Consider the following 13,927-nt stretch of genomic DNA (forward strand, 5'->3'; position numbering starts at 1 on the left):
TGGCTGTGATGGTTAATTTTAGGCATAAAATTGATTGGATTAGGAAACAGAGAACTGGTAAAGCATTATTTCTGGGTGTGTCTGGGACAGTGTTTCCAGAGGAGATTGGCATGTGGGTCAGTGAACTGAGGGAGGGAGCACTACCCTCAATGTGGGCAGGCACTGTCCAATCGGTTAGAGACCCAAATAGAACAAACACAGAGGAAAGGTGAATTTTTTTCTCTCTCTCCTGGAGTTGGGATACCTGTCTCCTGCCCTAGGACATCAAAACTTCATGTTATCGGGTGTTTGGACTCTGGTACTTAGCTAGCTTTTCCTCCTCACCCAGCCCCTTGCCCTCAGGATCTCAGGCCTTTGGCCTCAGACTAAGAGTTACACCAGCAGCTTCCCTGGTTCTGAGGCTTTAGGATGTGGAATGAGCCCTGCTATTGGCATCCCAGGGTCTCCAGCTTGCCATGGCCTGCCATGGGACTTCTCAGCCTCCATAACTGCTTGGGCCAATTCCCCTAATAAATTTCATCTCACATGTCTATGTATATTTATATCTTATTTGTTCTGTCTTGCTGGAGAAGCCTGACTAATACAGTGGGTGTTGAAGTCTCTGATTATAATTGTAGATTTGTATGCTTCTTTTTTTAGCTCTAACAGTTTTTGCTTCACATATATATTTTAAAAATTCTTTTATTTGAAAAATGAAAAATGTGTCTATTTGTGGTATACAACATGGTGTTTTGAAATATGAAAATTCAACATTGTTGAATGGCCAAATCATGCTAATGCAATTAACGTGTATTAGCTCAGTTTTTTGTGGTGAGAACATTTAAATCTACTCTTCTAGCTATTTTTGAGTATACAGTATATTAACTATAGTCATCATGTTATACACTAGATCTCTTGAACTTATTCCTGCTGTCAATGAAAGTTTGTATCCTTTGACCAATATCTTCCTAGTCCTACCCACCTCCCCAGTACCTAGTAACTACCATCTACCCTCTGCTATGAGTTTGCCATTTTTAGGTTCCACATATAAGTGAGATTATGTGGTATTTGTTTTTCTGTGCCTGGCTTTTTTCATTGAATGTAATATCCTCCAGGTTCATCAATGTTGTGGAAAATAACAAGATTTCCTTCTTTTTAAAGGCTAGTGTTCCATTGTATATTTATACCGTGTTTTTTCATCCATTCATTGATGGATATTTAGTTTAATTCTGTGTCTTGGCTATTGTAAAGAATGCTGTAATGAGCATGGGAGTGCAGATATCTGTTTGACACAATAATTAGTATTTTCTTGGGATATATACTTAGGCATGGGACTGTTGGATAGTATGGTAGTTCTATTATTTTTTGAGTAACCTCCACACTATTTTCCATAATGGCTATACTAATTCACATATATTTCATTTATTTTATTTTGTGCATATGCATTTAGGATTGCTGTGTCTTCCTGGAGAATTAACTCCTGTATCATTATATGGTGTCCCTTTGTCCCTGCTTTTTTTTCTTTGAAGTTGATTTTAGATATTAGTATTGTCATTCATACTCTCATTTGACTAAAATATTTGCATGGTATATAATTTTCCATTCCTTTTAATCTACCTATATAATTTTATTTAAAGTGAGTTTTAAAATATCTTTTATTAAAATTATCCACATATTTTATTTATTTATTTAAAAATATTTTGATGTTTAGGTTTAGGAGAACATGTGCAGGTTTGTAGTATAGGTAAACTTGTGATTTGGGGGTTTGGTGTACAGATTATTTTGTCACACAGGTACTAAGCATAGTACCTGACAGTTTTTTTTTTTTTCCTGAACCTCTTTCTCCTCTTACTTTCCACCCTCAAGTAAGCCCCAGTGTCCGCTGTTCCCCTCTTTCTGTCCACGTGTTCTCATTATTTAACTCCCACTTATGAGTGAGAATGTGCGGCATTTGTTTTTCTGTTCCTTCATTAGTTTGCTGAGGATAATGGCCTCCAGCTCCTTCTATGTTCCTGCAAAGGTCATGGTCTCATTCTTTCATATGGCTATGTAGTATTTGATGGTGTATATGTTCCACATTTTCTTTATCCAGTATACAATTGATGGGCATTTAGGTTGATACCATATCTTTGTTATTGGGAATAGTACCTCAATGAACATTCATGTCCATGTTTCTTTATGGTAGAATGATTTATATTCATTTGGGTATATACCCAGTAGTGGGATTGTTGTGTTGAATGGTAGGTCTGTTTTAAGTTCTTTGAGGAATTGCCACACTGCTTTCCACAAGAGTTGAACTAATTTGAAGTGAGGTTTTTGGAGACAGCATTTGGCTAGGTTATATTTAAAACCCACTCTGCTAATCTATTTTAATGTGTGTATTTAGACTATTTACATTTAATAAAATTAATGATAGGTTAAGGCTTTGATATGGTCTGGCTGTGTCCCTGCCTGTATTAGTCCATTTTCACACTGCTGATAAAGACATACCTGATACTGGGCAATTTATTAAAGAAAGACGTTTGTTGGACTCACAGGTCCATGTGTCTGGGGAGGCCTCGCAATCATGGTAGAAGATGAAAGGCATGTCTCACATGGTGGCAGACAAGAGAAAAGAGCTTGTGCAGGGAAACTCCACTTTTAAAACCATCACTTCTCATGATACTTAGTCACTATCATGAAAACAGCATGGGAAAGACTCACCCTCATGATTCACTAACCCCCCCAGGCCCCTCCCACAACACGTGGGAATTATGGGAGCTACATGATGAGATTTGGGTGGGGACACAGAGCCAAACCATATCCCCAGCAAATCTCATCTTGAACTGTAGTTCCCATAATCTTCATGTGATCTGGGAGGGACCACGTGGAAATAATTGGACTCATGAGGATGGTTCCCCCATCTTCTTCTCATAATAGTGAGTTCTCACGAGATCTGATCTGATGGTTTTATAGAGGGCTTCCCCTTTGCTGGACACTCATTCTTCTCCTTCCTGATGCTATGTGAAGAAGGATGTGTTTGCTTCCCCTTCTGTCATAATTGTAAGTTTCCTGAGGCCTCCGCAGCCGTGCTGAACTGTGAATCACTTAAAACTCTTTTCTTTATAAATTAGCGAGTCTTGGGTATGTCTTTATTGGCAGCAAGAGAATAGACTAATACAGGCTTAAACATACCATTTTATTATTTTTTTCTGTTTCCTACTCTGTGTTTTTTTCCCTCTTATTTTATTTTCCATGCCTTCTGATGAGTCACTTGAACAGTTTTAAAGTTCATTTCAATTTATCTATAGTGTTTTTATATAGCTTTTTTAGTGATTGCTTTAGAAATTACATTATAAATACATAACTTATCACAGTCTCCTCATGTTAATATTTTACTAGTTTGAGTAAAGTCTAAAAACTTTATCATCCTTAACATTCCTTTACCCTCCACATTCAAAACAGAATTATTTTAAATATTTTTTCTATATATTTAGAAGAATATGAGAAGTGTTATAATTTTTGCCTTAACTGTTAAACGTAAGTCAGAATACTCAAGAGGAGAAAATAGTCTATTGTATTTATTAATAATTTAGCTTACAGAGTTCCTTTTTCCTTCCTAATATCCCAAAGTTCCTTGTTTTATTATTTTCTTTTTCCTTAGAGAACTTCATTTAGCCATTTTTTAAGGATAGGTCTGCTAGTAATAAGTCATTTTAGTTTTCTTTCTTCTGAAAATGTTTTAAAAGATTTCTCCTTCATAGATAAAGGATATTTTTGTGGTTATAAGATTCTGAGTTGACAGTTATTTTCTTTTGACACTTGAAAAATATTGTGCTACTTCCTTCTGGCCTCTCTGGTTTCTCATGTAAATCCGCCAACATTCAAATTGTTTTTATCATATAATTAAATTGTCATTTCTTCTTGTACGTGTTTGTTTTCACACCGCTATAAAGAACTACCTGAGACTGGGTAATTTATAAAGGAAAGAGGTTTAATTGATTCACAGTTTCACATGGCTTGGAAGACCTCAGGAAACTTACAATCATGGCAGAAAGCGAAAGAGAAGCAAGGTTCATCTTACATGGCAGCAGGAGAGAGGGAGAATGAGGTGGGGAGAACTGTCAAACACTTTTAAACTATCAGATCTTGTGAGAACTAAATCATTATCATGAGAACCGCATGGGAGATACTGCTCTCATGATCCAATTACCTCCCACCAAGTCCCTCCCTTGACATATGGGAATTACTATTTGAGATGAGATTTGGGTGGGGACACAGAACCAAACCATATCATTCCACGCCTGGCCCTTCCCAAATATCATGTCCTTCTCACATTTCAAAACACAGTCATGCCTTCTCAACCATCTCCCAAAATCTTAACTCATTTTCCAGCATTAACTCAAAAGTCCATGTCCAAAATTTTATCTGAGACAAGGCAAGTTCCTTTCGCCTAAGAAGGATTTGTAAAATCAAAAACAAGTTACTTACTTCCAATATAGAATGGGGGTGCAGGAATTGGGTAAATGATCCCATTAAAAAAAATTGGCCAAAACAAAGGGGCTACAGGCCCTATGCAAGTCTGAAACCCAGAGGGGCAGTCATTAAATCTTAAAGCTCTGAAATAAACACCTTTGGCTCCATGTCTCACATCCAGGGCACACTGATGCAAGAGTTGGGCTACCAAGGCCTTGGGCAACCTCATCCCTGTGACTCTGCAGGTACAGTGCCTGTAGCTGCTTTCGTGGACTGGCATTGACTACCTGTGGCTTTTCCAGGTGCATGGTGCAAAATGTCAATGTATCTACCATTTTGGGGTCTGGAAGACGGTGGCCTTCCTCTCACTGCTCCACTAGACAGTACCCCAGTGGGGACTCTGTACTGGGACTCCAACCCCACATTTCCCTTTTGCAATGCCCTAGTAGAGGGTCTCCACTGGGGCTTTACCCCTGCAGCAGACTTCTGCTTGGATATCCAGGCATTTCTATACATCCTCTGAAATCTAGGTGGAGGTTCCTAATCCTCACTCTTGGCTTCTGTGCATCTGCAAGCCCAACATGACATGGTAGCCACCAAGGCTTGAGACTTGCACCCTCTGGAACAATGGCCCAAGCTATACTTTGGCACCTGCCCCCCCTTTTCTTTTTTTTCCTTTTTTGAGATGGAGTCTTGCTTTGTTGCCCAGGCTGGAGTGCAGTGGCGCAATCTTGGCTCACTGCACCCTCCGCCTCTCAGATTCAAGTGATTTTCCTGCCTCAGCCTCCCAAGTAGCTGGGATTACAGATCTGTGCCCCCATGCCCAGCTAATTTTTGTATTTTTAGTAGAAATGGGGTTTCACCATTTTTGGCCAGGCTGATCTTGAACTCCTGACCTCGTGATCTGCCTGCTTTGGCCCCCTAAAGTGCTGGGATTACGGGCATGAGCCACCGTGCCTGGTTTACCTTGGCCCCTTTTAACCACAACTGGAGCTGGAGCAGCTGGGACACAGGGTGACACTTTCTGAGACTGCACTGTGCAGCAGGGCCCTCAGCCAGGCCCACAAAACCATTTTTCCCTTTTAGGCCTTCAGGTCTGTGATAGGAGGGGCTGCTATGAAAATCTGTCTTTCTCTAGGACATTTTCCCCATTGTCTTGGCTATTAACATTTTACTCCTCATTATTTATGCAAATTTCTACAGCCAGCTTGAATTTGTTACCAGAAAATGGGATTTTATTTTCTACTGCATGGCCAGGCTGTAAATTTTCCAAAATTTTACACTCTGCTTCTCATTTAAACATAAGTTCCAATTTCAGATCATCTCTTTGTGAATGCATTTGACTGTATGCTTCAGAAAAAGTCAAATCATATCTTGAATGCTTTGGTGCTTAGAAATTTCTTTTACCAGATACCCTAAATAATTTCTCTCAAGTTCAACATTCCACAGATCCCCAGGGCAGGAGCACAATGCTGCCAGTCTCTTTGCTAAAGCATAGCAAGAGTGATCTTTACTCCAGTTCCCAGTAAGTTCCTGATCTCCATCTGAGACCACCTCAGCCTGGACTTCAGTGTCCATATCACTATCAGCATTTTGGTCAAAACCAGTCAACAAGTCTCTAGGAAGTTTCAAACTTTCCCACACCTTCCTGTCTTCTTCTGAGCCCTCCAAACTGTTCTAGCCTCTGCCTGTTTGCCAGTTCCAAAGTAGCTTCCACATTTTCAGGTTAACTTTATAACAGTGCCCCACTACCGGTACCAATTTTCTGTATTAGTCTGTTTTCACACTGCTATACAGAACTTCCTGAGACTGGGTAATTTATAAAGGAAAGAGGGTTAATTGACTCACAGTTCCACATGTCTAGGAAGGCCTCAAGAAACTTACAATCATGGTGGAAGGTGAAGGGGAAGTAAGACATGTCTTACGTGGCAGCAAGAGAGAGGGAAAGTGAGGTGGTGGGTGGGGAGGGGGAGCTGCCAAACACTTTTAAACCATCAAATCTCATGAGAACTCACTATCATGAGAACAGCATGGGGGAAACGACTCCCATAATCCAATCACCTCCTACCAGGTCCCTCCCTTGACATATAGGGATTACAATTCAAGATGAGATTGGGTGGGATCACAGAGCGAAACCATATCATTCCCTAAGGGCCTTTAAGAGTTTTTTTTTCCTTGTTTAGTTTTCAAAAGTTCCATTTTGATGTGTTTTGGGATTAATTTCTTTGGGCTTATCTTGTATGAAGTTTTCAGATTCTTGAATCTGTAGTTTTATGGGGTTTTTGTGTCAAATTTGGAAAGTTTCCAGCCAGTTTTATTTTAGTATACTTATAGTCCTACCCGCTTTTCTCTCTCCTTCTCAGACCCTGGTGGTAACTGAGTCAGGTTTTTTGTTATATTCCCTAAAGTCCCTGAGGTTCTGTTCATTTCATGTTTCTAGTTTATTGTATCTCTATGTTTAGATTGTGTAATGTATTTTGTTTTATTTTTCAATTCACTTATATTTTTCCCCCTTTGCTTCCATCTTTCTGTTGATCTCATCTACTGAGCATTTTATTGAGGTGATATTTTTTAGTTCTGAAATTTCCATTTTTTAATATATTATGTTTTTTGCTGAGATTTGATTTTTTTTGCTGAAGTTTTCTTTTGCTTCATTTGTTTCAAGCTTTTTTTGGTAATTGTTGAAGCATTTTTATCATGGCAACTTTAAATCTTTGTCAGGTAATTCTAACAAATCTGTCACCTTGGTAATGACATTTTTGAATTCCTTTTTAAAATTCAGTTTGAGATCTTGGTTCGTGGTATGACAAGTATTTTTTAACTGATATCTGGACAGTTTTGTATCATGAGACTCTGTGTGTTCTTTAAACCTGTTTTAGCTGGATTTATGTGACAACACCTCAGCAGGGAAAGATCTCCCTTGTTACCGCTGGATAGAAGAAGTGGTACGGGGTCCTCACAACAGTGTGCTCTGTTGACATATGGTGCGGGAAAGCTCTTCATTACTGCTTGGTGGGATTGGGAGCTTAAGAGTTCCAGTTCCCCATGTGTCTCTACTGACACTGCAAGGTGTAGGCTTGTTATTGGATGGTAGAGATGAAAGACATGGTTTTCTACTTGGCCTCCTCTGAAATAATTCTGGTAGGTAGGAGCTTCAGGTTCTATATTAGAGGTGGTCAAGGTTTCTTACTGGGCCTTTGTTATCATCGTTGGGTGGAGCCAGTGTTGTGTTTTTTTTTTTTCCCAGATTGAATATAGCAGAAGAGTTATTTTCCAAAAGTTTTCTGCCTTGCTAGTCTACTCCTTTCTTGTTCTATTGGCTACAGAGGCTTTTGTTAGGGTTTTATATGCGTCTGTTGACATTTCAATTTGCCAGCTTCTTCACCTTCAAACCTGGAATATATGAGGCAAAATGAACAAACAAATAAATAAACAAAAATCCCAACAAATCAAATAATGCATCACTATGTCATTCCTTGGGCCCTGTGGTCCCTAGACAGTCTTCCTTCTTTTTTCTGCCTTCAGATTCTACTTACATTTGATATGTAATACCCAGAATTCTTAGTTGGACTTAGTGGGAGGAATAAGGAAAAGTATGTCTACTCCATGTTGCTGGAAGTGGATGTCTCCTTTATTTTTTTATTTTTATCTTTTTTTAACTAATGCTTTGTCTTTACTAGTTTTTCACTTTCTAAATTGGCATAACAGTTTTACTGGTAGACTCTCAAGCATAAAATATATTCCATTTGGACAGAATTATGTAAGAGAAATGAAATAGGGATATAAGTTCAAGAAGAAAAAAGATACCAAATTTCTGACTGTTGAAGAAGATTGCTTAGATACATTTATTTTTAAAAGGTTTTATTTTTTAATTATAATGGATACATAATAGTTGTGCATATTTATGGGGTACATGTGAAATTTTGTTACAGGATTACAATGTGTAATAATCAAGTCAGGGTAACTGGGATATCCATTACTTCAAGCATTTCTTATTTCTTTGTGCTAAGAAAATTACAATTCCACTCTTCATTATTCTGAAACATACAATAATTGATAGCTACAGTTGCCCTATTGTGCTACTGAACACTATATCTTACTTCTGTCTAATTGTATTTTTGTACCCATTAACCTTCTCTCTACTGCATTTCCCAGCCTCTGGTAACCATCATTCTACTCTTTGTCACCATGAGTTCATTTTTTTTTTTTTTAAGCTCCCACATATAAGTGCAAACATGCATTATTTGTCTTTCTGCACTTGGTTTATTTCACTTAACGTAATGACCTCTGGTTCCCTTTATGTTGGTGCAAATGACAGGATTTCATTCTTTTTATGGCTGAATAATATTTTGTTGTGTATATATAACATATTTTCTTTATCCATACATCCATTAATGGCCTCTTAGGTTGCTTCCATATCTTGGCTATTGTGAATAGTGCTGCAATAAACACGGGAATGCAGATATCTCTTCAATACACTACTTGTTTTCTTTTGGATATAGTCCTAGCAGTGGGATTGTTGGGTCATATGGTGATTCTATTTTTAGGTTTTTGAGAAACCTACATACTGTTTTCCATAGTTGTTGTACATTCCCACCAATAGTATACAACTGTTCTGCTTTCTTGGTATCCTTGCCAGCATCTGTTATTTTCTGTTTTTTTGATAATAGCCACTTTAATGTGGGTGAGATGATATTGATTTTTCAGCTCCAGAATTTTTGCTTGATGTTTTAAATTATTTCAGTCTCTTAAATTTTCTTCGCAGAATTCTGACTTCCTTCTCTGTGTTACCTTGAAGTTTGTTGAGCTTCCTCAAAACAGCTATTTTAAATTCCCTGTTTGAAAGGTTACATATTTCTGTCACCTCAAGATTGATCACTGATATCTTACTCAGTTTGTTTGTTGCAGTCATGTTTTCCTGAATGTTTCTGATGTTTGTGGACATTCATGGATGTCTGGCATTGAAGATTTAGGTACTTATTTCAATCTTCTCTGTCTGGGCTTCTTTGTACTCATCCTTCTTGAGTGGGCTCTCCAAGAATTCAGAGGGGATTGAGTGCCCTTATCTAGGCCTGTGGTCACTGAAGCCATTTTAGCACTGGGAGGAGCCCGAAGCCCAGGAACATTGTGACATTTGTAGACTCCTAGATACATAGCCTTGGTTAACTTGGGGAAGATAATGGGGAATTTGTTGGGATACTAGTTACCAGGCAAAATCTCCTACTCTCTTTCCTTTCTTTTTAAATCAGAAGGCATCTCTGTACTGCGCTGCCTGGAATCAGGGAAGGGGTAATGTGGGTGCTTCTCTGGCCATCACAGCTGGTACCATACTGGGTCATACATGAAGCCCATGGGCTTCCAGACCAAGTCAGTACTGGGACTCACTAAGGCCCATAGTCACTACTGCCTGGTTGCCTTTAGTCAGAGGGTACTGAATATTGCCAGGACTGGGTCCATCCCACCAGGGCAGCAGATTCCCTTCTGACCCAGAGTGGGTCTAGAAATGTTCAGAAGCAAAGGCTTGGAACTGGGGACTTCGGGAATATGCCTGGTGCTTTATTTTACTGTGGTTGTGCTGGTACCCAAGTTTCAAGACAAAGTCTTCTGTATTCTTCCCTCTCCTCCTTCAAGTTGGAATAATTTTCTCCCTGTGCTGCACTGCCTAAAGGCGGGGCAGGGGAGGGGTAACAGAGGCACTCACACAGCCACTGCAGCTGATGTTACAGAGGGTTGCATCCCTGGTCTACTGCCTCTGAGACCAGGCAGCACCAGGATTGCCCAAAGACTGTAGTCCTTGTTGCCTGATTGCCACTCAGATTTATTCAAGGACCCAGGCCACTTTAGTGAGCCAGTGATAAAGTGGGCTGGGAGTCAGGCTCCACAGGCTGGGAAAAGATTCCCGTTGGGCCCAGAGCTGGCATAAATTCTCCCTCTGTGGGCACCAGCCGACTTCTGTCCTGTGTTGTGTTCCACTATGACAGCGTAGCATTGAGTTACAATGCAAAGTCCCACACTCACTTTTCTCTCCCTCCCCAAAAACATAGATTCTCTCTCTACACTGAGCCACCTGGGGTTGGGGGAAGGGTGGTGTAGGCAATGCAAAGCTGTCCTTCCTACCGTCTTCAATGCCTCTTTCCTTATTATGATGTGAAAACCAGATACTGTGATTGCTCACCTGATTTTTTGGTTCTTATAAAGGTACTTTGTTGCATGGCTAGTTGTTCAATTTGGTTTTCCTGTGGGGGTTTGATCATTGGAGAATTCTATTTGACCATATTCTCTGCTCTTTAGACACATTTCAAAAGAGAGATTTAACAGTTTTATTTTAAAATGTTATATTTACATTAAACTGGGAATTACATCCTTTGGAAACTGATTAACAATGGCAATCCATTTAAAAATGGGCAACATGTTATAAAGTTTCAAAAAAGTATTTAGGAAATATGTCAGGAAAAACGTTTGAATCCATGGCTCTGGGGTATGTGCTTGAGTTTGAGATTGCTTGACTCTGTATATGAATAGCTTGAGAGAATGTGAAATCATTTTCCAAAGTGTTTTTGTCTGTTTACACTCCCATCAGCCATGCATGACAGTTCCCAGGGTTCCATGTCCCTGCCAGCACTGATATTATCAGATTTAAAAGTTTTGCTACTGTGGTCAGAGTAAAATGTTGACTAATTATCATTTAAATTAGCATTTTCCTAATTGTTGATGCAGTTAAACACCTTTCAATGGTCTATTTTCACATTTATTTTCCCTTCATTTAAGTAGCTGGCATTGCCAATACTTATATTTGCCCCCAAATTTTCAACTGGATTAATTATAATTTTCATATTGACCTGGAGGCATTCTTTATATCTTTACTAATGTTTTGTCAGTTACTGTGTTGATACAACTTTTCATAGCTTGGGTTATATATTCACTCTCATTATGGTGTTTTTGATGAATGTAATAATTGGAATTTTAATGAAGCGCTGTGTATCAATCTTTTTTTTTAAGTTTGCTTTTTGTGTCTTACTTGAAAAATTTCTTACTTACCCTCCAGTCATAGAAATAGTTGATTTTTTTTCTGAAAGTTTTTGTAACCATGCTTACATGTAAATCTCTAATTCACCTGATATTAATTTTAGTATAACAGATGACATAGGATTTTATTTACATTTTTTCCTATTGTTTGTATACAACTTATTGAGCATTTTTCTCTTTGTCTCAGATATTGACAATGCCATTTCTGTCACAAGTTGTTTTCAAATGTTCATGGAACTGAACTTAGATTCAGTCTGTTTCTCTCTCTTCCTCTTTGAGTGACTATCATACAGTTTTAATTACTTTAGCTTTAAAAGAAATATTGATTTAATAAATAAATTTTGCAGTTTCTTTGATCTTATTCCTGTCAAAAATTCTTAAATGATTATTCTTGAAGTCATTTTATTTATCTCTATTGCTGGCTATTATTCTTATTTAATTGTTACTAATTTTTTAATGACTGAAGTTGTTTCAGGGCCAGATATTGCAAAATAAATAGTATGGAGAAGGGGCCAACAGGTGGTCTGGGCTAGCAGGAAATCTTCCTGGCTCTCAGTAGAGTTTTATAGGATAAAATGTGTGTGTGTGTGGGTGGGTGGGTGTGGGTGTGTGTGCATTTATAGTTTAGCCTTGTCTCATTTTTAGTTGATAAAGATGGGGGCAGTCCTTGTACTTTTCTATTCATGATTTCTTCTCTACATTGCTATGGTAATTACAAAGAATGCCTGTATATTTCTTCAGTTATCTTTGTCTCCTCTGCAACTTTGTATATTCAAACAAGGTAGTAGAAAGTTCTTGTACCTGGCCCCATACACTCTGTTATAAATGTTCCAAACAGGTGGTTGTTGGTTTTGATCTTCCTGTCTCTACCTGAGATCTCTACTGGCAAGCGGCTTCACTTTTTTCCTCTTTACCTTGATCCTATTTGTACTTCATTTAGTAATCCTTTCTTATTTATTTTGAAGTTGGTATCAAGGGTATTTATTAGTATTAATGAGGACAGAATTTCCATTTTATTTTCTTGGTCTTGTAGGAAAGTTTAAACTTTCCCTCTGAAGGTTCAATAATTGAGTCTACTGAAATAAGCTGACAAAAGATAGATGAAGAGGAGAAAAGGCACATAAATTTATACCGTGCAAATACACAGAAGTGGCACAACGTATGAAACTCAAGGAAGGGCCAGATGATTGAAGCTTAAATACCCTCTTCATAGGTGAACGGAGAGTGGGAGATTTAGGCAATTTTGGAGGAAAAGTCAATAATTTATAGGGGAAAAGAATGGGCCTAAAGAACAGATAATAATCTAGACAAAGTTCTCCTGAGCTCTGGGGAGGCTGGCAACAAGTTAAGGGAACATTGACGGGCAGAACTACATTAGGAAAAAAAGTTGTCTTATAAAGTCCCTTAGGTAACAGACCTTGGAAGAATAGATGAAATGTCTCTCTGGGCAAGTGTGGTGACAACTTTTAGTTTCTTCTTTGGTTGTCAGTCTTCCCTGGTTAATGAGATTTCAGATAGGAGATTGGAGAAAATTGTATTTTTTTTTTAATAAGAACTACCCTTGGTCACATAACGGTACCTTAGAGATAGCCCCTCCCTTCATCTTGAAGGAGAAACTAGGTAAAGTCAAAGAAATCTTTATTTGGAGGAAGCTTCTAAGGCCTTCCAATTTTCTTTAATTCAAAGTGCGCAGCATGCCAAAGCACCATACTTTGGGGTATTGTTTTCTGAGCCTACTGCTTTCAACACTCTCCTTGCTTTCAGTTGATTTTAGAAAAAAAAGTCATGAAAAGGTTTTAACATATTCAACCTAAAAATCTTAGCTTGATGTTTGAAGTCATTAAAATAATTTCTATAGTTTTTTATAGAAATTATAAAATTTTATGTAAAATTTCTATAGTTTTATGTTTGGTATGAAATTCTGGAGATTGTGTACTTCCATTGGAAAAAAAATTTTAGTAAGTATCACATAGACCATGGAAAAGTTATAATAGATTACATAATGCAATCAAGAGTACAAGGTGAAGAAGTATGTTTGCAGATTTCAGTTGTACTATACAAGGTGTTTTTGGCAAAGAGATAGTAGAATATTATATTTTTGAAATTCATGAATATGTCCCTTGATAAATTTGTATTTGCTTTTTGTCTTTGGTTTCTGGCATACAACTCTTAAAACTCTTTGAATGTCCAGAGTGGTAAGAGTCTCTTTTATATGCTAATTAGATGACTGCTGGATGGGGGCCACTAGATTGCCTTAGGATGGGTGCTGGCTGCCAGAAAGAGTAACTCATGTTTAGAGAGTTAGAAGTTGCAACCCCATCCTCTGATCTCCAGGGGAGGGAGGCTGGAGAGTGAGTCTGATTATCAGTGGTCAATGATTTAATCAATCATGCCTATGTAATGGAGCCACCATAAAAACGCCTAAATAATGTGGTTTGGAGAGCTTTTGGGTTGGTGAACACAGGAA

The 13,927-nt window shown here is 38.2% G+C and overlaps 2 long non-coding RNA genes across 3 annotated transcripts in view; one reads left to right on the plus strand and one right to left on the minus strand.

Annotated features, from left to right (window-relative positions):
* LOC107986324 (uncharacterized) overlaps positions 1-13,927 on the plus strand; it is a 487,144-nt gene that overhangs the window by 118,509 nt on the left and 354,708 nt on the right. The gene's annotated exons all lie outside the window — the stretch shown is intronic.
* LINC02233 (long intergenic non-protein coding RNA 2233) overlaps positions 7,672-13,927 on the minus strand; it is a 111,282-nt gene continuing 105,026 nt past the window's right edge. Inside the window, exon 3 of the long non-coding RNA NR_146278.1 lies at positions 7,672-7,827. This is a non-coding gene — a long non-coding RNA (long intergenic non-protein coding RNA 2233). The remainder of the gene's footprint in view (positions 7,828-13,927) is intronic.

The sequence above is a fragment of the Homo sapiens genome, chromosome 4, assembly GCF_000001405.40.
Source record: "Homo sapiens chromosome 4, GRCh38.p14 Primary Assembly".
Lineage (NCBI taxonomy): Eukaryota > Metazoa > Chordata > Mammalia > Primates > Hominidae > Homo > Homo sapiens.